The 24,571-nt window shown below is 39.0% G+C and overlaps 1 protein-coding gene and 1 long non-coding RNA gene across 7 annotated transcripts in view, besides 9 other annotated features; one reads left to right on the forward strand and one right to left on the reverse strand.

Annotated features, from left to right (window-relative positions):
• Positions 1-17,376, reverse strand: part of CA1 (carbonic anhydrase 1) — a 50,506-nt gene extending 33,130 nt beyond the window's left edge. For all 6 annotated transcript variants that reach the window (NM_001291968.2, NM_001291967.2, NM_001128831.4 and 3 more), the window contains exon 1: positions 17,309-17,376. The gene's annotated coding sequence lies outside the window, so the exon portion shown is untranslated. The remainder of the gene's footprint in view (positions 1-17,308) is intronic.
• Positions 834-12,001, forward strand: LOC124901970 (uncharacterized). The gene is made up of 2 exons (XR_007060986.1): positions 834-4,841; positions 11,404-12,001. It is a non-coding gene; the product is annotated as an uncharacterized LOC124901970 (long non-coding RNA).
• Positions 10,934-10,983: an enhancer, noted in NCBI's record as "active region_27595". NCBI's record gives its function as "activates an Ori minimal core promoter by ATAC-STARR-seq in GM12878 lymphoblastoid cells {active_cell/tissue: GM12878}" and the evidence as "EXISTENCE:reporter gene assay evidence [ECO:0000049][PMID:35858748]".
• Positions 11,054-11,133: a silencer, noted in NCBI's record as "silent region_19337". NCBI's record gives its function as "represses an Ori minimal core promoter by ATAC-STARR-seq in GM12878 lymphoblastoid cells {active_cell/tissue: GM12878}" and the evidence as "EXISTENCE:reporter gene assay evidence [ECO:0000049][PMID:35858748]".
• Positions 17,214-17,814: a DNaseI hypersensitive site, noted in NCBI's record as "DHS-1; erythroid cell-specific; the nucleotide coordinates are approximate for this feature". NCBI's record gives the evidence for it as "EXISTENCE:in vivo cleavage assay evidence [ECO:0001075][PMID:1463458]".
• Positions 17,214-19,128: a biological region, named in NCBI's record as "CA1 upstream erythroid promoter". NCBI's record gives its function as "regulatory_interactions: CA1".
• Positions 17,220-17,657: a mobile genetic element.
• Positions 17,337-17,567: a conserved region, noted in NCBI's record as "conserved_region". NCBI's record gives the evidence for it as "COORDINATES:sequence alignment evidence [ECO:0000200][PMID:8406018]".
• Positions 17,404-18,195: a promoter, noted in NCBI's record as "SstI to +14 fragment for CA1-SspI-H2K (Ss) construct". NCBI's record gives the evidence for it as "EXISTENCE:transcriptional activation assay [ECO:0000170][PMID:1463458]".
• Positions 17,686-17,983: a mobile genetic element.
• Positions 18,528-19,128: a DNaseI hypersensitive site, noted in NCBI's record as "DHS-2; erythroid cell-specific; the nucleotide coordinates are approximate for this feature". NCBI's record gives the evidence for it as "EXISTENCE:in vivo cleavage assay evidence [ECO:0001075][PMID:1463458]".

Raw genomic sequence — 24,571 nt, forward strand, 5'->3', positions numbered from 1 at the left:
TTGTTTCTCATCTCCGGTAACTGTAAATGGCATTACACCATCCCTGTTTCTTAAGGAAGAAATCTAGGAGTCCTCTTTGAATATTTCCTTTCACAAAATCTATTTATCAAATCAGCAGCAAGTTTAATAGCTTCTTCCTCCTAAACATAATTTAAATCATCTACTTGTGCACCACCATCTGCCATCACCATTTCTCTCTTGCAGAACCACCAGGCCCTGGGGAGACCACGCTCCTGTAGGGAATGTGGGTTCTGCAAGAAGTAACTGATCCCTTCAGGAAATGCACCTTTTCCCTCTAAACACAAAGCAAAACTCCCCAAAACTGAGAACTGGACCTTAGAGGCACATGTTGTCCCATCCTGAGAGTGGATGCCAGTAATAACTCTGAGGCTCAGGCCACTGGGAGGGGAAATCTGAATCTGTGACTCTTCTGCTCAGACACTCTCAAGGGAGCTGAACTGGTTCATGGTTGCTGATGACCCCTGGCTATCGATCTCTTTAAGGAAAGATTGTCCAGTTTAGGGATTTAGGACTCCTCCAAATCATCAAATAATGAGTTCATGAAGACCACCAGATACCCAAGAAGGTAAGCACTGTATGTGTCAAATACGTTTAAAAAGATAATAAAGAAGAAAATGTTAAAGAGATATCAGATGTGGCCAGGCACCATGGCTCACACCTGTAATCTCAGCACTTTGGGAAGCCGAAGCGGGATGATTGCTTGATGCCGGAAGTTTGAGACCAGCCTGGCCAACATGTCGAAACCCTCTGTCTACTAAAAATACACAAGTTAGCCGGGCATGGTGGCAGCCACCTGTAATCCCACCTACTTGGGAGGCCGAGACAGGAGAATCACTTGAACCCAGGGGGTGGAGGTTGCAGTGAGCCATCACACCACTGCATTCCCTGGGTGCAATGTGAGATGCCCTCTAGGTGACAGAGCAAGACTCTGTCAAAAAATAAAATAAAATAAAATAACAGACATGAAGTATTGAGCTTGATGTCTAACACTCAGTGGGGCTTACTATGTGGAAACTCCATGTGGATTGCACCTCATCCTTTCTTCACTGGACCAGCGCTATTAGCACCAATTCACCAGCTACTATCATCTGAAGGTACCCATTGATCATGCAAGTTACCTTCTCTGGGCAGGCAATCCACATCTTTATGGTATTGAGTTTATGGCAGACCATACAGAGAGGTAATATAGTAGTTTTCTACTGCTGCTGAAACAAATCATCAAAAGTTTAGCCTCTTACAATACAAATTTATTCTCCTGACACTTCTGGCAGTCACAAATCCAAAATACGTTTTTGGGGCTAAAATCAAGGGGTTGGCAGGGTTGCATTCCTTCTCAGTCTCTGGGAAGAATTTGTTTTGTTGTCTTTTCCAGTTTCTATGTGCCTCCTACATTCCTTGGCTTATGATCCCTTCTCCATCCTCAAAGCGAGCAGTATAAAATCTTCTCTCCCTCCTCTTTTCTTCCTCCTTCTTATAAGAATCTTTGTGATTATATCAGGCCCATCTGGATGAATCAGAATAATCTCCCATCTCAGGATCCTTCATTTAATCACATCTGTGAAGTCCCTTGTGTTGTGTAAGACATTTTCAAAGATTCTGGGGATTAAGATATGGACATTGTTGGGGCCAATTATTTAGCCTACTACAGGTAGGAAGCAAGGGAAAACTTCTCAAGGACTCATTTAGTGATGGTGGCGTTTGAAGGTGGTGGTGGCTGGGGTATTGAGGAGGAAACAGGCCAAACTGGAAATAAAAGATGATTTTTGGCCCTGGGTGTAATTGAATTGGCATATTTTGAGGGGATGGGATTCAAGGAAATTAGCTTCACTGAGAGCTGAAAAAGATTCAGGGATTTTGCTTTCTAAAAAGCAAAATTGGGAGTATAATTGTGGTGCGTAGGGGAAGAGCAAGGGGAGTTAGTGATGGTTGAAATAATACAATGTACGAATAGTTTCATTACTAAAGCATATCATTCTCTGGATATTGATGGATATCATTCAATTGGCTGTAGTTGATGTAGCAGAAAAGAGTCATCCATTGATTCTATTGATTCTATTGAAATTTTTAGGCAGATAACTTATATTATTTTGATGAAAATATCAATGCTGATATTAGCAATAGATACCTGAGAAGAAGCAATTAAAAAAACTAAAGATGTGTAGTTTGGCAGAATGATTATCAATATAGTCATCTGTGTGAACTGCTTACCTTCAGTTCCCTTGTGGCACAATAGCACGAAAGAAAGTCAGGGTAATGTGAGTTTTATTTTATAAGGGCTGTTAAGTCTACATAGGTTTGCTTAGTCATCATGGTCGCTGTTTTGTGTCATGCCCATTCACTTATAATTTAAAGAAAAAGTAAAGGGAACATGTTTCTTTCTCAACACTTTTGCTTTTGGCAACCTCTTGTTGCTTTTACTACTAATGAGAGAAATTCCAGTTCTTTAAGAGTTAATTTTAAAACAAAACTTTGCCCGCATCTTTCCAATTCCTGGAATACCATTCACAGGAGCACAGCACAATAAATAATTCTGTTCATGCAGGTGATAAATGCTGTTGAGGGCTCCGCTTGCTAACCATTTAAGAAATACAGATTTACATACTTTCAAGGCATATCCGTGAAAATGTCAGTTCTTTAACTAAACACTCATCTACACAGCCTTTCTGCTAAAGTGAGCACCACCTGAGTGACTTGCCCACACTCTGAGCTCTTCTTGCCTCCAAATGAATTGGTGATTGTTCCCTTCCTGCCTCCAGTGTGTTGGTTACTGTTGCCATCCTTATCAAAGGTAAGGGTCCAGGCCCACCAGCTTGGAGTTATCTGTGTCTCCTTCCCTTTCCTTAGGCTCTTGTGGTAAATGCTGCCAATTCTATCTTCACAACCCCTCTGGTGTTCTTTCCTTTCTTCTCCTTTCATCACCATTGCCTCTTACCTGCTGACATCAAATCACATCCTAACTGACCTCATTGCCTAAGCCTTTGCTCCCTCATATCCAGCTAAAGATCTACTGCAAGAATGATAGCCCTGAAGCCCTGTTCCAGTCAGCTCATTCATGGTCAGGGAATTTTCAACAGCTTCCCATTGCTTTGCATAAAAGGCAAACACCACCACCTAGCAGGCAAGGGCCTCAGATCTACTTTTCCAGATTTTTATTTCAATAGTTTCCTTTATACTGTTTATTTTGTAAAGCAGGACTATATGTTGTCCCCAAATTTCTTTTCTTTCCTTTCCTTTCTTTTCTTTTTTATTTTATTTTTTTTTAAATAGAGACAGGGTCTCACCATGTTGCCCAGGCTGGTCTTGAGCTCCTGGGCTCAAGCGATCTGCCCACCTTGGCCTCCCAAAATGCTGGAGTTACAGGCGTGAGCCACTGCACCTGGCTATTAACCCCAAATTTATTCTGTGTCTTTCTCTCTTTACCTTCAGACTTTGCGATGTGCTGCTCTTTAATGTGAAATGCCCAACTCTTGTCCCAAACACACATATCCACTTGTGAAAATCTAACCTATCATCAAAAGTACATCTCAGATGATAGGTATTTCTTGAATAAAGTCTTTCATCTTTGCATTGCCATAGAGTTTGTTTTACATCTTTCTTATGACAGCACTCACATTCAAACCGTAGTTATATTTATGTGTATACTTGTCTCTCCACCAGATGGGTAGTAAGACTCTTAAAATCAGAGTCCGAATTTTATCAGTCCTAGGAGTCTTCCATTCTCTTCAGTAGATAATCAAACACTTTTGTTAAATATTGGAATGAATAAGCAAGTGACTTATTTTGTCGATTTATTTCTACAGAACATTAGTGATGTGGTGAACAAACACTTTGAGCACATCCAAAATAAAAACCATCTGGAACTAAAGTAACAGAATTTTTAATCAGCTACACTGCTATAATACACACTGAGCTATGAAAAATCTTATGCTGGAAAAGGTGCCAGAATCTTAGTACACTATTTTCAGGAAAGAGATACCATTTCTTTCCCTAAGATATGACCTCGTCTTAGTACCAGAAATGTGAAACCTAACTGGAGAATAAATAAGTTTCAATTTTTAATAGCTCATAACTCTGACAGGGCTGGGAGTATCAAATTAACTTGAGCATTATCCACCCTGCAGTGCCAGCTGAGGGGCACGTGGAGAGAAAGGTGCTGAGGGTGGGTGTGGGTGCTCAGCTTCTAGACGGTACTGGCAGCAACAGCTGCCGCTTGGCTCTGGAGGCAGCCCTCTGCTCTCCCTCTGTGGGCAAGAGGTCCAGGATGAGATGGGGAGGTGGGTGGTCAGATGGGGCAGGGGCTTAAGAGGAGGCCTCAGGCCCTGGTTGGAGATACAGCTGAGCTGTATGAAGCAGAGCAATTAGTTATGGCATCACCGGTATATAAAAGGGTGAGGGAATCTCAGAATTGAGTTATAATACCTGCTTGTGAGACGATATTACATTAATGATGACAAAGGGTGACTTCTATGAACTTCCAGAAACAAAGGATTATCTGGGGAGTAAACTTAACAGGCGCTTCATTTCAGAACAACATGAAAAAATTACAGGCACATAAATCTAGAAGTAGGTAGCTCCGTCTCTACCATAATGGATGATGAAAGGTGAGATTAAATGATTCTGAACTTTGCCTGACATGATAAACCTCTATGACTTAAGAAAGTGAGCACTGCTTGGCTGGACAGAGCCTCCCTAATATTATTATGGTAAAAGGAATTTCTCACATTGCAGGCTGGGGAAGCCAAATATGGACTTTGTGCCACAGTGTTCTGCACCCGTTCGTCACAGAGCTTTTGCTTTAAAATGAGCATTTGGAAGAACTGGTAAATCATTTTATGCACTTTGCTTGTGTTATATTCTAAATAAATTTATAAATGGTTGATTCCTTTTAAATCTTATTTTAAAATCATCTTCTCTTCACCTTCAATATAGCCTGGGCTTGTTAATTTATTTTTAAGTTCGGGGAGAACAACTGTGGCCATACACATGAAGAAAATACAAAATATTGGGACAGATGACAATTTCATTGCATATCCATCACCCTCCTTCTTGCTAGTGCCCTGCAGGTGAGAGTCAATCAGTAGAATAAGGAAGGCCTAGGGACCTCCAAAATAATGAAGGCTTTTATAGACCCAGGCAGAGGGCAGTGGCTCCTCTAGGTACAGGGTTGATGTTTTGCCCTGGGATAAGGAACTCAGAACCCTTGGCTCCCTGAGTGGGTGCAATCAATGAAACCCAGTAGATGTCTCTCAGTCTTTGGAGAAAAGTTGCCTTTGCCAATGTCCTATGTACAGCTTGCTTCTGCAGGCCAACTCTAGCAGCCCTGGAGAGGAACTGCAACTTTGAGCAGAACTATTGTTAATCCACACAGTTAAGGAGGGGAGAAGCCCCACCATGCTCTTTCTTCCCCTTTTTTTTTTTTTTTTTTTTAAGTTTTTGTAGAGATGAGGTCCCACTATGTTGCCCAGGCTGGTTTTGAACTCCTGAGCTCAAGTGATCCTCCCTCTTCGGCCTCCCAAAGTGTTAGGATTACAGGTGTGAGTTACTGTGTGCTACCCATCATGCTGTTTCTCACCTTGAGCTTCAAAAGGTCACTTTTCTCCCTTAGCCTCCAAGGAAGACTTTTGATCTTTTGCTCACAAAATAGCCAATGGCCAACAGTGTGAGAAAAGATCATCTATGTGACCACTGTTTAGAAAAACATAGATCAAAACAATGAGAGACCATGGGAATGGGAGGCAAAATTCAAAAGACTGATAATATTCCTGCGGAAGCACGAAGTACTCCAATAATTCATTTGCAGCCCTTAATTAAATTATAAATGGACATAGAGTTAGATTCAAATATTCCACTTTTAGGAGTCTGTGAAATTGAAAAATTAACAAGAGTAATTGGAAATAAATGTGCAAGGATGCTAACTGAATCAATGTTTATAAGAGCAGGCATTTCAAAATAACCTAAACGGGAATGGAATTAAATAGTGATACTAGACAAGTGCATTTGTGATACTTTAAGTGTAAAAAGTGAATTGAAGAGCAATGGCATAATATGATCCTGATTTTGCATATAAAATTTTTTTGCATCTGCACACTTATGTAGTCAGTGAAGAGAGATTAGAAAGAAATACCAATCTGGTAACATTTGTTGCCTTAAAGAGAATATGACTCTAAAAGATGACAGATTGTTAATTTTTACTTGATTTACATCTGTATTGTTTGATAGCTGCAAAGAACATATATCATTTTTATAATAAAATTATTTAAATTTTTTCTTAACCTCATATTTAAAAGTTTATAAGATTTTGAGATATTAATCTGAAGAATTTCAGAGACAGATTATAGAATTTAAAAATTAAAATTTTTTAAAAATTAAAATTATTCTTGCCTTAAGAATAAGCCAATATTTTAATAAAATCTTGTTTTAACCAATAAAAAAAGTTTATAAGAGGAAAAGAACGATTTCTATAGTTTCTACATGTCTACTGGCATGTCAATATAGCTATTGTGCCCCCTTTTGAATACTATTTTATTGCCTTATAAAATTGGAAATCTCCTAACCAGATGAACACATGGAGAAGTTATTTTATTTTGTACAATCTACATGATGATTATACTCCTAAGAGGAAAAGAAATGTACTTGTTTGAAAAAAACCAAGGGAGTCAGGGGAATTTCACTCAACTCTGTGGCATAAGAGAAAACATTTAAATTAAATGATTGGAAAGAGAAAAGCAAAGCTAGGGATAAGTTCTGAAGCATGTAAAAAATCTTTGCTTTGTGGTTCCTTTAAGCGAGTGGTTCTCAAACATTTCTGTGCATCAGAGGGCTTTGTTAAAATACAGATTGCCCAGCCTCACCTTCAGAGTTTCTGATTCAGTAGGTCTGGGATGGAAGCTGAGAATTTGCATTTCTAGCAAGTCCCAGGTGATGCTGATACTGCTGCTCTGAGGACCACACTTAGAGAGCCACTGCTTTAGAAATATTCCTTGTATACCCTTTGTCAGAAATAGCTAAGGTTTCCAGAAGCAAGAATAGGAATAAAGGCAAGATGTACACAAGTGATATCTGATACTGGGGTTGAGATTATGTATTATATACAATTTTTTGAAAAGTAAGACTACGACTAAGCTATTACATTACATGTGCTGCGGTAGTATTTTGTATGTTGTATAAAACAAAAGCATTAAATAAATTGAAAGTATTAAAGAATAATAGAAAATTATTTATATGTATTAAATCTCACTTATTTTCTTTTCATTGCTTATAAAAGAATATGAGCTGTACAATTTTCCAGCTACTTATACATATTAGACAATAAATAAAAACAAAATATTGAAAGAAGAGAGGACAGAATGTTTATGAATCGCTTGTAATTTTAAAATTAAAAAATTAAATTAAATTTAAAATAGTAATAATAATAATTATTATTATTTTGAGGCAGAGTCTCACTCTGTTGCCAGGCTGGAGTGCAGTGGCGCAATCTTGGCTCACCACAAACTCTGTCTCCCAGGTTCAAGTGATTCTCTTGCCTCAGTCTCCTGAGTAGATGGGACTAGAGGAGTGTGCCACCATGCCCGGGTAATTTTTTTGTATTTTTAGTAGAGATGAGGTTTCACCATGTTGGCTAGGCTGGTCTTGAACTCCTGACCTCATGATCTGCCCTTCTCTGCCTCCCAAAGTGCTGAGATTACAGGTGTGAGCCACCACACCTGGCCAAATTTAAAATTTAAAAATTCTACCTGTGTTTAGTTGTGGTACATGTTGCTTTAACAATATGGAGGTGTTTTTTTTTTCACATTTTCTTTGTGTGAAACAAACATAATATCTTTTTAATGATTGTTTCATTGTGACTGAAGTAGCTGAAATGCACAGTGTGCTCTTTTGAGTTTCCCTATAATTGTTCAAGATTGATTTTTCATTGTTCTTAAAATTAAACTTTTTTTTGGAGAAAGAGAAACAGGTAAAAAAAAGAGAGAAAACTTTAGATAACTGTAACTTTATACTATCTTGGGGGCAATGCTTCATTTCTAAGGGAGTTCAAGCACTGTGCATCAGAGCCAGGAGGTTCCAGACTTGTCACTGTCACGTCAATCTTGTAACTTTCCAACAGGTCCTCCTTCCCAGAAACCAAATCAGATTTTCTACTTGAAGCAGTACCAAGCCTCTGGATAGAGCTTCGAGGGAAGGATTTTGGGGTCATGGGTTTTTTCCAGGGAGGCTCGAAAAAAGCTTCCCTTGCAGTTTGAGTTTGAAGGCTGTAGCTCAGTGGCAGATCAGGACACCTAGGAACATTTCCAAGGAAGTAGCCATTTCTCTCCCAGCCTTGAACCCTGATCTCTGGGTTCTTCCCTCTGAGAATCTCCCCCACCTCAGTTAAACTGCGCATCATAACTGCATGGCTATTTGAGATATTATTTTTAAATAACATGTTTACTTTGTGAAAGCTCTTAGTTAGGGAAACCAGAGGTCAGCATTGCAGTTTGTTTACAGATCTGTGAAATGGCTTTGCCCTGCTACCCCCTTATTTATATCAGATTTCATCTTTCATGCTACCCTCTCTTTTCCAAATTCAGTTTCCTAATGCTCTTGGTTACCCCACTTTGGAGATTACCCCGGCTTGCCTAGGATGCATCTCTCCAACTTTCAATGCCTAACCTTGGCTAGTTAACCATCTTGAAACACATTCATATCAAAGCATTAATGACAGAAAATAGCTTAATGTGGTAACTTCTAGTCACATCTTTGCTTTACATAGTGATTTGAAACTCCAAAGATCTTAAGTAAAGACATGCATTTTGAACAATGAAATGCCGTGGACTGGTAGGGCCAACAAGAAGGAGATGTTTAGCCAGAGCAGCTTCCCGTGGTCCTTTGCATCATAATAGCTAGTCCATCTTTGGTTGATGCAAAAGTTGTACTTAAGAGAAAGCATGGGAACAGGGTTCTCTTTTAAAAGCATACTCCAAATAGCTACCTTAAGGGGAAATGAATGGGAACCCTGGCACTATGGTGGGTTAATCTTGATGTTCTCCACTCATCCCTTACGCCTGTTACCCATGTTAGTCTGTTTCTTACTAATTGGAAATTACTTTTACTTATGATTAAGAAACTGTTATAGTCCTGGACTTGTATGTAGAGGATAGGATTACAGTTCAACAAGTAGCCAAGTAATATATGACCAACTAAGATCCCTGGAATTTGGCTACCTAGGGTTTAATGTGTCTAGCAAACTATTTCCTCTGTAGTGAGAAATAACATGACACCAAACCTTTCAGAATCAGGCCAGGAACTGAAATGGGGGGGAAGTTGAACCAGCTGTCTTTGAAGCTGAACCCCGTCATTAAGGGCTAGATGGCACAGCCATAGAATAGGTTAGGACTGTTCTAGAGAACTAGTGTTTGTTGTATATTAATACCTGTAATTTATAAGCCCATAAAGATTTATGCTTCTTGTATTTTATATGTTTATTTGTACTGTTTTTCCTTCACTTTGACAGTCTCAGCCTATCTCAGATTGGCAGGAAATCAATTGAAGTAAACTTTGTTCAGACTTCATTCAAACCTCTGGGGATACAAATGGTAGTGACTGGTTATCATGGGAAGAGTGAAATTCAGAGGAAATTGAATCAAAACCCTCTAAACTTAGGCATTTTTTAATAGTACTAAAACCTTGGAGTTTTTTAAAAAAAACTTTTAAAATCTTCTGGCTTTGTTCTATTTTATTTTTATTTTTTAGAAAGAGATATGGGAACTTTATGATCACCTTGGATGATTTTATTGTAGTTAGAGATTAAAACATTCTAGCTCATTTCTGTAAATATGGAACTCAGTAACCATGTCTCAGTAGAGATGCTTTTTATTTACAGAGAGTAAATAGAAAGTAATTTCAATTTTCTAAAAATGACAAGTGCTGTCAAAATGTATGACAACCTGTAGTATAAGTATGTACAGATACACTACTTTAAATTTATGTCTTAGATTTTCTTTTCTCGCTAATATTTATTTTTATTGACTTTTCTCAGAAATTATTTTAATCAGTCCTGTATTAAAAGATGCACAATTTCAAATTTCTTCTTATCAGATTAAGACACAAAATAGGTTAAAATATAATTTGCCATTATTGTGTTTAAATGGATCTTAGAAGTGTTAAATTTACATTTGCATACTATTCTGGATACTTCTAGGAATTTTAAATTTGATGTCATAATTCTTCTATCACCTTTGGTTGTCTGCATTTAACATATGACACAGTGTGATATCTGAATGCCTCTCTGAATAGCTCCCAGCTATAGTGACTACTGCCATCTTTAGGATGGATCCACAGATTCTGGATCTAACTTATGTGCAGTTAGAGGGAGTTTAAAGGAGATTTAAATTACCCTGCCAACTCCAATGACTCTTCATCCTTGGAGTTTGGTTAGCTGATTCTGTGCCTTGGTCCTAGTAACTGGGGGTTCTAGCTCCCCTAAAGATCTGAACTCATACCACAAATTGTTTCAAGATCTGTTTCTTTTCCTAAAGGTAAGCCTCTGGCTTGATAATGATTCTGGCGCCCTAGGCTTTCTAGGTCTGTTAATCTTAATTCTTTTGGTCATGCATTCCTTTGAAATTATGATAAAAGTTAGGTTTGTTTCCTTTGAAAGTGCACATATTCTCAGGTGTGTGTGCGTATACACACATACAATTTTGAATACAGTTTCTGGGCTTTCATGAATCCTAAGGCAACCCCCAAAGAACGGGGTCTCTGAATATTGCAGGCTTTAATGCCATGTGTAGTACACCCAAGCAGAAATCAGCCCAGCTGGGGCAGCATCCTTGCCCTTTGGTGCACCAGAATCTTGTCAGCAGTAGTCAGGTAGGGTCCACCCAATACAAATATTTGTCTAAAGCAATACCTGGAGAGGTAATATGATTTACAACTTAATGAGAAAAATAAAATAATTTGCTGAGCGTGAGTGAAGCTACTTTAGAGAATGAGAACAGTAAAGATTTTACTGTGTTGATAAAGACTGGATTGCACTCAGTGAATTACAGAGCAGCAAGGTTCTGATATTTACTTTCAGTTCCTCTTCACTGAGGAACTTTTGAACTTCTACATGCATTGTGGCTAAAAGAATTGTGGCCTGTCTTCTATGGATGATTTTAAGCTCAACCATCAAACATCCATTAAACACCAAGTATATGTCAGGTCCTATGCTGGGTGTTGAGGACAGAAGATGAGTGAGGAGCTCATAATGTTGTACAGGAGAAAGACATATAAGTAAATAATAATGAAAGGGATTGCCACTTTTTAAGTGCAGACTACGTGCTAATGGTTTCACATATATTATTTCACCAAATCTTTAAAACAATCCTAGAGTCATGTTTATTTTTATCCTCATTTTACAAGCGAGGAAACAAAATCATGGACGATGGACCATATGCCATGGTAGAACTAAAGTTCAGACGCGAGCACAGAGAAGACCCAGGTTTTTGGGAGGCCCTCTTTAAAAAAGAATGCACTTTGTACTCATCAGACGGCTACTATGAAACAAAAAGAAAACCAACCAGACAAAAATACAGCAGAAAACAAGTGTTGGCGATGATGTGGAGAAATGAGAACCCTTGTGCATTTCTGGTGGGAATGTAAAGAGCTGTCACCATTGTGGAAAGCAGTATGGTGATTCCTCAAAGAATTAAACACAGAACTACCTTATGGTCCAGCATTCCACTTCTGAGTATATATCTGAAAGAAGTGAGAACAGGGGATTCTACAGATATTTGTACACCTGTATTCATAGCAGTGTTATTCACAATATTCCAAAGGTGGAAACAAACCCAGTGTTTATTGTCAGATGAATGAATAAACAAAATGTGGTACTATATATACAGTAGTTTCCCCCTTAACCAAAGCTTTGCTTTCCTCTGTTTCAGTTATGTATGATCCACCACAGTCCAAAATTATTAAATGGAAACTTCTAGAAATAAACAATACGTTTTCAATTGCATGCCATTCTGAGTAGTGTGATGACATCTCACAGCATCCCACTCCATCCTGATGGGGCCGTGAATCTTCCCTTTGTCCATCATATCGCCTCTGTACATGCTGCCCTCCCCTTAGTCACTTAGTAGTCTTCTCAGTTATCAGATTTTCTGTTGCCATGTTGCAGTGCTTGTGTTCAAGTAACCCTTATTTTACTTCATAATGGCCCCAAAGCCCAAGACTTGTGATGCTGGTAATTTGGATATGCCAAAGAGAAGCCATCAGTCCTTCCTTTAAGTGAAAATTTGAAAGCTCTTGGCTTAATAAGGAGAGGAAAAAAGTCATATACTGAGGTTGCTAAGATCTACGGTAAGAACAAATCTTCTATCCAGGTAATTGTGAAGGAGGAAAAAGAAATTCGTGCTAGTGTTGGTGTTGCAACTCAAACTGTAAAAGTTACAGCTACAGTGCAAGATGGGTGTTTCGTTAAGACGGAAAAGACATTAAATGGGTGGGTGGAAGACATGAATAGAAAACATGTTTTGATAACCACCAGTTGCACCAGAAAGCACTGAGCATCTGCGAAGACTTCAGCAAGCAAGAAATGAGTTGACACCACGCCGCAAAGGGCTGGTTACACTGATTCAGAAATACAGAAGGTCAGTAGCAGCCTATGGCTACATCACAATGCTTACATCATTCACCTCTTGTCATCTCATCACAGAGGCATCACAGCATCTCCCATGACAAGAAAGGTGAGTACAGTACAATGCAATATTTTGAGAGAGAGAGAGAGACTACATTCACATAACTTTTATTATGATATATTGTTATAGTTGTTCTATTTTATTATTAGTTATTGTTGTTAATCTCTTCCTATTCCTAATTTATAATTTAAACTTTATCATAGATGTGTTTGTATAAGGAAAAAAACATAGTGTTTATAGGGTTCGGTACTAGCCATGGTTTCAGGTATTGTCTTGTAACGTATCCTCACAGATAAGGGGGACTACTGTATATACAAGGGAATATTATTCAGCCTTAAAAAGAAATGATACATGCTACAATATGGAGGAAGATTGAAGACACTATGCTAAGTGAAATAAGCCATATACAAAGGGACAAATACTGTGTGATTCCACTTATATGGGATAACTAGAATAGTCAAATTTATAGAGCTAGAAAATAGAGTAATTGCTGCCAGAGCTCGGGGGAGGAAGGAGTGGGGAGTTATTGTTTAATGAATATGGAGTTTCAGTTTGGAAAGATGAAAAAGTTCTGGAGATGATGCGCGATGGGGGTTGCACAGCAACGTCAATGTACTTAATGCCACAGACCTGTATACCTTAAAATGTTTAAAGTAGTAAATTTAATTTTACCACAAAAAGAATACAAAATTAATAATAAAATTAGTGACAAAAGTGAATATCTATTTAGAACAAGAAAATGATTTATAATAAATCAAATATTTTACAAAGTTAAATATCAAAAATATCACAAAATCTAAAAAACAATATTTCATATTCAGCCACTGCCAGACACAATCCTCTAAGAGCTTTTATCTATATTTTAATTTCATAATTCTGGATTATCTCTTCATATAGCAAAAATTTTATATTATTTTCTGTAGAGAGAATAGAAAGATATTTCAGTCTTATTTCAAGCATGGTTGATTAAAATTTTTGTTTGTTCTTATTAATACTGGGATTCATAAAACTTCACACACATTTGAAGTACTGCTATAGGTTTGTGTCTTAATACACAGGATTCTTTAATTTTGTACTATTTTCATCAAAAAAATTTTGTAACATATGATGTGGTTTTAATCGTACGTAAGACATTATCAGATACATTCCTGAGAGAACCTGTCTTAACTAGGTTTTCTGGTCAAATTCTAAAACCAAATTCTCTGCCTGCAGCTTTACACACTGGATGATTGAAATTATTTTCCCTCGATTAGCTCTGTCTCTGTGCATTTCACCATCTGTTTCTCTTCAATAACCTACAAATTTCTGAACCTGGGAGCCATTAGGAAGCACACTTTCACTTTTCAATATGACTTCTGGCCCTGCATATTTGTTTTGGCATAGTGGATGCTACCCTGAATGGCTAGCAATAAATTATCAATATACAGAAATGACTGATACCCACATAAATATGACCCACTAAAGCCAAACTAAAATTATTCTCAACTCAACTTTCCCCATTTGGGTCTCAAAAATGCCCACAGCCCCTCCAATACCACCTGATACAGGAAATATGATGCCGTACAGTCAGAGTAAAATGATAATGGGGTTGACTGATTGTGGTTAAATATCTTTTGCAAATTTTATATAAAACATATGATTGTGTGAACACATTTCTTGTGCCCTTCTGGGATCTTGGAAGTAAATCAAGCAATGAATGGTCTTACAGCTTAAGCATCATTATTTTTACAATATTGCCACCTCTGCCTAAGTCTGTCTCACTCCAACATTTTTGCTTCTCTCCACTGTGCTATTCCACCTTAGATAATTGTAAAACATTAGGACAAGGGCAATGAGAGAAACCTAATTAGACAGGAAGGACACACTAAAGAAAGACACATGAAACAGCCTGGAAAGAAGGCTTCGGAGGGAAGAACTCACCTATCGCATGCTGGCCTGTCCTGGCATTGCACTGTTTTATTTTATGTATTTTGTTACCACTTTCAGAAAATTAACAGCACAGCTCTGCCCAACTAGCACATCTAATGCCATGTGCCACCCACCCGCCCTACACTGACCAGTGGTGCCATAAAATACCTGTTTTTTTCCTTTTCTTTTGAAAAAAAAAAAAGATTAGAACAAATAGAAAGATTAGAACAAATGTTGGCATGATAGAAACAAGGAATAAAATAGGCAGAAACATCCCAAGGGAAGATCTACATGCTCTAAATGAGTTTGTGTCTCTTGGAGAGGAATAAAATCCAGAGCACGGAGAAAGTTCAGATAAGATGGATGAACCTCAAAATAACTCGAGGTGCAGTGAAGACTCAGGCAGAACAACTGTATCCTGGCACATGCTATCCCAAATTTCAAAAATAGAATGGTGGATGTAGGTGAGCTATAGATCATGAGCTTGATGCAAATGTAGGTAATATTCTGAGATACAGTATTCAGTAGATAGTGTTAATCACGTAGGGAATGGTCAATAAAATGACAAAAGGATTCTTGATATTGAACTGGATATAAAACATGTAAAAAGCAAGTTGACTCCAATCAGGCAATAAAGAGATTGAATTCAGTCGAGTAGTGAATAATATCCTATAGAGGGAATTTCAACTATCAAATTACACAGTTATAAGTTATAAAAGAAGCTGGGCATGGTGGCTCATGCCTTTAATCCCAGTACTTTGGAAGGTCCAAGCTGGTGGATCGCTTGAGGTTAGGAGTTCAGGACCAGCCTGGCCAACATGGCGAAACCCCATCTCTACTAAAAATACAAAAATTGGCCGGGTGTGGTAGCGCATACTTGTAATCCCAGCTACTCGGGAGGCTGAGACACGAGAATTGCTTGAACCGGGAGGCAGAGGTTGCAGTGAGCAGAGATCATGCCACTACACTCCAGCCTGGGTGACAGAGTGAGATTCTGTCTCAAAAAAACAAAAAAGTTATAAAAGAGGTAACTTTAAAAATTGGGTAAGGGGGCCGGGCACGGTGCCTCACACCTATAATCCCAGCACTTTGGGAGGCCGAGGTAGGCGGATCATCAGAGGTCAAGAGATTGAGACAATCCTGGCCAACATGGTGAAACCCTGTCTCTACTAAAAATACAAAAATTAGACGGGCGTGGTGGCACATGCCTGTAGTCCCAGGTACTCCGGAGACTGAGGCAAGAGAATTGCTTGAACCCAGGAGGCAGAGGTTACAGTGAGCTGAGATCACACCACTGCACTCCAGCCTGGTGACAGAGAAATTGTCTCAAAAATAAATAAATAAATAAATAAATAAATAAATAAATAAATAAATAAATAAAACTAGGTAAGGGTACACATGATATACTAGACTGCATGAAACAGTGTGAATTTGGAAAGCTCTGTTACCTCAAGGAGATGCCCAGCAGATTGACTTTCGGGTCGTGTAGAGGCACCCTGGGCATGTGTGGTACCTAATTAGGTCCCTGACCCTCTCTCAAATTCTTTAACTGACACTTCAACCCTGGCCTTGATTCTCTGATACAGTATCCTCAGCCCAATCAGATCATACATCTATCTATTCTCTTTATTTGCATAAGTGGATTTACAATACTGGGAGAAGAGAGAAATAACTATAAGAATGTTGAAGTTAGTCAAATCCACAATATTAACACATTTGTATTAACTTTAGAAATTTAATTATTTAATCCTTGAGATAACCTATGAAAGATTGTTTGTTAAGTTACTTGAAGCATTTAATATAACCTGATATATTAGAAAATCAGATATATGAACCATATAATTTCAATTTTAAAGTACAAGAGCATTTTCTTCAGTCTATACACAGTGTTTGAATGTTTAAGAGAACATAACTTACTACTGCATAAATTTGGTTTATTACTTTTACTGGAATTGCTTTAATTATTAGAGCCCCCTCCCTCCTTTTATAAACTTGCAAGATGTATAAAAGATACTAATGTGTCAGGCATTTGAAATGCTTGAGAGATTCAGGTAGACTAAATTTGTAATTGATATAATATATAATATTTAAAGGAACTTAATTAACCAAGTCTATCAATTGCATTATTTGTTTAGGGGAATTAACGTCAAATTGAACATTAGTCATGGAATAATTTTAAATGGTAATTTATATTGGCTGGGCACAGTGGCTCACGCCTCTAGTCCCAGCACTTTGGGAGGCTGAGGAGGGCAGATCACCTGAGGTCAGTAGTTCGAGACCAGCCTTGCAAACATGGTGAAATCCCCTCTACTAAAAATACAGTAATTAGCCAGGTGTGGTGGCATGTGCCTGTAATCCCAGCTACTCGGGAGGCTGAGGCAGGAGAATCACTTGAACCTGGGAGGCAGAGGTTGCAGTTAGCAGAGATGGTGCCACTGCACTCCAGCCTAGGCTGCCAAGTGAGACTCTGTCTCAAAAAAAAAAAAGGTAATTTATATTATCCTTTTCAGATTTACAGATTTACAGAGATCTGCTTGATAAATATAAAAGGTTTAGAAAAACTATAAAGGTTTTTTAAGCTTTGCAGCTTTCATTCATTGAATAGTAATTAAGATGTAGGTAGGACTGTATTTTACAAGATTTAAAGATTCTTTTGGCAGTCGGATAAAACACTTCAATGCTCAGCTAGATGAAAGGCAGAAGTCTTTGTTACTTACAGCTCTGAATGAGAGAAGGCTGCCACAGAGGACCACGCAGGGGGTTGCACCTGAGGACTGGGTACCACAGGCTGGAGGGGGAATGGGCAGCTTATGTACAGCAAAAAGGGTGGGGTTAGCTAGGTTGAATAATTTTGAATAATTTGCATAATTTTGGCGGGCTTTGGGGCATGGGCGCTGTCCTTAATTGTCTGATGTCTGGCCCTGTGGTGATTAGAGTGGGTACATAGTGGCCCCAGAGTGTGAGAACCTGATAAGGGAAGTGGTTGGGGTGTGGATTTAATCAGCTGCTCAAGAGAGGAAACTGACCAGCCTCTAGCCAAGGCCTCCATACTAGGTCAAGACAGCACAATAATCAATAAAAATACCATATATGAAATATATTTAGTCACTGATTCCTTTATATCTTGATGTCGATTTTGAACTCAATTATTTGGGGTGTTTGAGTGGCCTGAATAGTAGAGGAGACTTCTACAGAATAGGGCCTAAGTTGCACTAAACAGCATAGAAAACATTTTATTATGACAATAACAAGGAAGAAACCAAGTAGAAATGTGACAAGTCCCTGAAGGCTGACTCGTAACCAGGCTCCCATTTGTTTGGCGTTGGCCAGGAGAATACATCAGTCATGGCAAGGGCCTTTAGTCATATTTTGACTGGATTTCAGAGTGTGTTAAATATGTAAGGCATGTTTTTTTAGGGTGATGGTTTTCTGATCCAGGCTTTCTGTTAGAATGACCTCTTGATTGGTGGTGTTAACCCACCTACAACAAGAAGCTCTAATAATGTTACAAACACCTCTTTGACTAGTTAATATATAATCAAGGACAAATTTACTGTCAAAAAACATTTTTGCCAAAGCTCCCTGGTTTAGCAGGACTAATATTTGCTGTAACTTAGAAATATGATATACTAGAGTTTTGGACATTTGTAGGGTAGCATCAATTATTTTTGACTGTTGGGCTAAAGCAATGGTCCTTGTGGCCATCGCAGCAAGTCCCAGAGCAGTGGTGAGTCCCAGTATTATAGGTACAAATGTGGCACATCAATGACATTTGGCTGGGTAGGGAAAGAATAATTAACATTTATATAAATAGGAATGCCAAGAGAGGCCAGAATGCATCTCGTGGCTTCCAGTTTCAGAGTAATGGAAGGGCAAAGGAGAGGGGATAAACACCCTTGTTGGTTGGGACACAATATAGTTTTGTGGCATTACCATTAGACTGGAAAATTGTACCTTGATTTAGGTAAAGGGAAATTACTAAAGAATGGGACTGGAGGAAGACAGTGGCTTTTGTTGGGCATATGGTGAGAATATGCAGTTGTTCATTGGGTAGCCCATCTGTGGTATGTATTGAGGAAATACGAGTGCAGTTGCCACTTGCCATGAGGGGGCACCCCAATACAGAAGAAAAGGCCGTTTGGAAGTGGTTTTCATTTCTCAGTATTTTTCATCTCTGGGGCAATTATCAGTTGGGTAAATGTGTGATGTGGGATATGTGGAAGCAGGGTGATGAGTTATGGATAGTCAGTGCAGAAGAGCCTACTTCAGTCAAATGTGTTTGTATTTTGGATGTCTGTATAAATATCAGAGAAGCTGGGGCAGTGGGTTTGAATTTTACTTACGTAGTCTTTTAGAGGGCAAGAGGAGAAGATGCTGTTAGGACGGAAAAGATAGGGGTGGGAGTAGGGATACTGACAATGAGAAAGGGAAGGCGAGGAGGATGGAAGGGAATAAATGGTTTGACAGTCGGAGACCAGCAGATGCTCCTTTTACTCCTAGGAGAGCACACAGGGTGGAATACTTCAGTCAGGTTACCCTTTAGGCAGGAGAAGTGGGTGGGATTAGCAGGAACCTGAATCTTAGAAGCATTAGGGAGGTATTGGACTTGGTCTCATAAGGGCTAAGCCAGGTATAGAGTGGAATTACAATCACAGAGAGCAGAACTTCGAGTTTTATAGGTGTCTGTAAAGTCTGGAAAGTTACTCCAGTGTTGTGGGTCTTGCTTTTTTAAAACAGAAGTCAGCAGTGTAACCAGCTACTGGAAAACCAAGAGCCTCTGGTCTCCTATGAATGGCAAGACATTCCATGTGCTAGTGTAGTTGGCACTGCCCATAGTTGGTTGGGAGGCAGGGGGCATGTCATCTTTAATGGCATGGTCTTGAGCTAGGGCAGTGTCGGACTAGGGTATCCTTCCCACATGGATACCCACTAGGGTTGATGTGGGCTGTATTTTTGTGACTCTGTGGTGTTATAATGGGGCTGAGTCATTTGTAGAATTTGAATACAATGTTGGGTCCTGGGAGCTTGATTCACAAATGTCTTTTAAGTCAAAGGCTTTGTGGGTGCACAGCTAGCAAAGATGCTGGCATCCAGAATACTCCTATAATTGGACCAAAGTGCCAGAATCTGAATGGTACAATCAAAGTCTCAATTAAAGGCAGCTAAATGTCCCTACAAAGGACAGGATCTTGTTCCTTTTTATGGTGGCGTAGTATTCCATGGTGTATATGTACCACATTTTCTTTATCCAGTCTATCATTGATGGGCATTTGGGTTGATTCCACATCTTTGTTATTGTGAATAGTGCTGCAATTAACATACATAAGCATGTATCTTTATAATAGAATGATTTATATTCTTTTGGGTGTATATACCCAGTAATGAGATTGCTGTGTCAAATGCTGTTTCTGGTTCTAGGTCTTTAAGGAATTGCTACAATGTCTTCCACAATGGTGGAACTAATTTACATTCTCACCAACAGTGGAAAAGCACTCCTATTTCTCCATAGCCTCGCCAGCATCTGTTGTTTCTTGACTTTTTAATAATCACCATTCTGACAGGTGTGAGATCATATCTCATTGTGGTTTTGATGTGCATTCCTGTAATGATCAGTGAGGTTGAGCTTTTTTTATGTTTCTTGACCACATATTTGTCTTCTTTTGAGAAGTGTTTGTTAATGGGCTTTGCCCACTTTTTAATGGGGTTGTTCATTTTTTTTCTTATAAATTTGTTTAAGTTCCTTGAAGATTCTGGATATTAGACCTTTGTCAGATAGATAGATTGCAAAAATTTTCTCCCACTCTGTAGGTCACCTGTTTGCTCTAATGATAGCTCCTTTTGCAGTGCAGAAGCTCTTTAGTTTAATTAGATCCCATTTGTCAATTTTTGCTTTTGACATTTTTGTCATGAAATCTTTGCCTATGCCTATGTTATGAATGGTATTGCCTGGATTTTCTTCTAGGGTTTTTTGTTTTTTTTTTTACTTTTGGGTTTTCATTTAAGTCTTTAATTCATCTTGAGTTAATTTTGTGTAAGATGTGAGGAAGGGGTTAAGTTTCAATTTTCTGCATATGGCTAGCCAGTTCTCCCAGCACCACTTACTAAATAAGGAATCCTTTCCCCATTACTTGTTTTTGCCAGATTTGTCAAAGATCAGATGGTTGTAGATGTGCAGTCTTATTTCTGAGATCTCTATTCTATTCCATTGGTCTATGTGTCTGTTTTTGTACCAGTACCATGCTGCTTTGGTTACTGTAAACTTGTAGTATAGTTTGAAGTAGGGTAACGTGATGCCTCCATCTTTGTTGTTTTTGCTTAGGATTGTCTTGGCTATATGGGCTCTTTTTTGGTTCCACATTACTTTTAAAGTAGTTTTTTTCTAGTTCTGTGAAGAAAGTCAACGGTAGCTTGATGGGAATAGCATTAAATCTATAAATCACTTTGGACATTTTGGCCATTTTCATGATATTGATTCTTCCTATCCATGAGCATGGCATGTTTTTCCATTTGTTTGTGTCCTCTCAGATTTCATTGAGCAGTGGTTTTTAGTTCTCTTTGAAGAGATCCTTCACTTTCCTTGTTAGCTGTATTCCTAGATATTTTATTCTCTTTGCAGCAGTTGTGAATGAGAGTTCATTCATGATTTGACTCTCTGCTTGTCTACTGTTAGTGTATAGGAATGCTTGTGATTTTTGCACATTGATTTTGTATCCTGGAGCTCAAAGCCATTATCCTCAGCAAACTAATACAGGAACAGAAAACCAAACACCTCGTGTTCTCACTTATAAGTGGGAGCTGAAAAATGAGAACACGTGGACACAGGGAGGGGAACAGCACACACTGGGGCCTTTCTGGGGGGTGATGGCAGGGGGAGGGAGAGCATCAGGATAAATAGCTAATGAATGTGGGGCTTAATACCTAGGTGATGGGTTGATAGGTGCAGCAAACCACCATGGCACAGGTTTACCTAAGTAACAAACCTGCATGTCCTGCGCCTGTGTCCCAGAACTTAAAATAAAATTAAATTAATAAAAATAAAGGCAGCTGAATATAAAAGCTCTCAACAGTCCCTGGTTTTTCTAGACGTGTGATGAGAGGGGTTCTGCTGTACACAGGTTTTAAATCATATGGCCTGATTTGAGTGCATATGGTTAATAGGGTGTCAGGTTGTTTGCCAATTAATATATCTATGGCTGAGGCTCTAACTCCAGTATTAGTCTGTAGGAAGCCCTCCAATTTAACCAATTTCTATGTTCCTTTATAGTTCCTTTATAGTAATTGGTTAAATTGGTCCAGTTGACAATGAGACCCGGGTGCCATTTCTGTATTGTGGGAGAGCCCAACCAACACTTTCCTCCACAAGAGTTTACCTGAAACACTCAGACAAACAGGATTCTGCCCTCCATAATAATAAAGAAACACTGCTGCCAAAGAAGTTACAGACTCCTGGAATAGGCTTCTGCCAAACACAGGCTATGAGCAGAAGCATGGGGAATGCAGACCCTGCAAAGTGCAGCTCAAGTGGCTCATCACTCCTAATGGTCTAAGGTGGGCCCCAGCTGTACTAGTGTATAGCTTTGGAGTTTAGCCAGTCAGCAATGATCATTTTTAATGTTCCAACACAGGAATGTGGATACGGAGAGACTTGGCAACCACCGGCAGGCACAGCAGCACCAGCTAAATTGCAGCTCACCAACAGGCAGCAGTTACATCCCTAGTTGTGCTGGTGTGGGTCTGGAGCCAATGAGTAAGCCAAGAGCAGACCCTCACACCCTGCACCCTGCCCCACAAGGAGCTACCCAAGAGTCCACAATCATGGCCACACCTTCCTGCTCACAGCACCAATTGTTTATAAGATTTGAAGACTTTTGATGGTGGACACTTACAGGAGTTGTGTCGGGGACTGAGTGAGTAACTGCAAGCTACAGGGGGCAGCTTACGTATGGCACACAGGGTGGGGCTAGCTTGGTTTCATAGGCTCTCTGTGGATTGGATGATTTAAATAATTTTGGTGGGCCCTGGGGTTTAGGGACTGTCCCTAGTTGTTTGGTGCTAGGTCCCAGGGCAGATTAGGGCAGATGTGAGTGTGAGAGCATGATAAGGAAAGTCTTCAAGGTGTGGAATTACTCAACTGCTGGAGAAAGGGAATTTATCAGCCTTTAGCCAGGGCCTCAAACTGGGTCAAGACAGCACAATTACAAAAAAAAAGAAAAAAAAAAACAGAATAAGAAAGAAAAGAAAACCCTATATTGTAGACTAAGAGACTATTTCTGTGCATAAATACCCTCATAAACATTACAAACCAAAAGATGGAGGTAATCACCAAGAGCCAGCATTGGTTCATTAAGAATGAATGATGCAAATTTTGTGTTTTAGATCAGGAGTCCCCTGATCTAACAGGTCACAGTACAGGTCCCTAGCCTGTTAGGAACAGGGCTGTACAGCAGGAGGTGAGCAGCAGGCCAGCGAGGGAAGCTTCATCTGTATTTACAGCTGCTCCCCATCACTCACATTAATGCCTGAGATCTACTTCATGTCAGATCAGCAGTGGCATTAGGTTCTCATAGGAGTATGAACTCTATTGAGAACTGTGCATGCAAGAGATCTAGTTTGTGTGCTCCTTATGAGAATCTAATGCCTGATGATCTGTCACTGTCTCTCCGCACCCCCAGATGGAACCTTCTAGTTGCAGGAAATCAAGCTCAGGGCTCCCACTGATTCTACATTACAGTGAGTTGTACAATTATTTCATTATATATTACAATGTAATAATAATAGAAATAAAGTGCACAATAAATGTAATCCGCTTGAATCATCCCAAAATTATTCCCACCCCCACGTCGGTCTGTGGAAAAATTATCTTCCATGAAACTGGTCCCTGGTGCCAAAAAGGTTGAGGATCCCTGTTTTAGATTACCATGTACTCTCTTGTGAGCTAGTGAGTTTCCTGCCCTTCAAATTACATTAGAAAAAGCTAAAAGATTACTAGTTACAAGTAACACTTGTAATGTAATATGCTATTTGTACATCAATTTCACATACTTTATTTCACAATTTTCTTTCTAAGCCAGATTCACAGTAAATTCAGTGACCACATTTTAAACTTATTCCTTTGTAATTCCACAGACATTTATTGAAAATTAAAGATGTGCCAGTCAGGAAACAAGTGTTGGTACAAAAATATGTCAATTCATTAAAATTAAGTAAGACATAGCTATATAGAACAACATAGCTCATTTTGAAAATACATGCAAACAAAAAGATACATATGGTTGCATTATAATGGATACTTGTGCAGGGGAGAAAAATGGGAGATGGTTATGGGGATACAGAAAAGAATAAGTTAAAAAGTAATATAAAAAAGGGGGAAAAGAAGAAAGGGACTTTCACAGAAATAATGGCAATTTCCCCTGAACTGAGAGATGTGATTAACTTGACCTTCTGCACCTGCAGAAAGTACATAAATAAAGGAATAAAACATAGTCCCTGTCCTCAAGAAACTCACAGCCTGGTAGGCAGACATAGGTAGAGACATGTGATTGTAACACATGATTAATTCGATAAGCACAGAATGTTTAAAGTGGGTACCTTAGACAGGCTTCAGGTGCTTGGGGTAGGAGGCTCTTGTCAGGAGAGATTTCTCTGGACAGGTACTAGTTAACCAGGTGAAATGGTGCAAAGGCAATCCCAGGCAGAATATAGGCTATGCAAAAGCACAGTTGAGAGAAAGAGAATGATTTGGAAAATTACAACTTTGAGAGACTAATGTTGTTGTCATGTTTATTCATTCAAAATTATGTATTAAGCACTTACTATGTACCCAAGTACTTAACATGTGCAAATTGAGGTTCAGAGGGTTTGTATTTTGCTTACACAGAGGTAGAATGAACTGGAGCTAGGACTCAGGCCCAGGCCTTCAGACTTCACAAATATTGTGTGCTCTTTCCCCTCAGGCCCCCTTCCACGAATGCTAGAGAAAG

Source organism: Homo sapiens, chromosome 8 (assembly GCF_000001405.40).
Source record: "Homo sapiens chromosome 8, GRCh38.p14 Primary Assembly".
Taxonomy (NCBI): domain Eukaryota; kingdom Metazoa; phylum Chordata; class Mammalia; order Primates; family Hominidae; genus Homo; species Homo sapiens.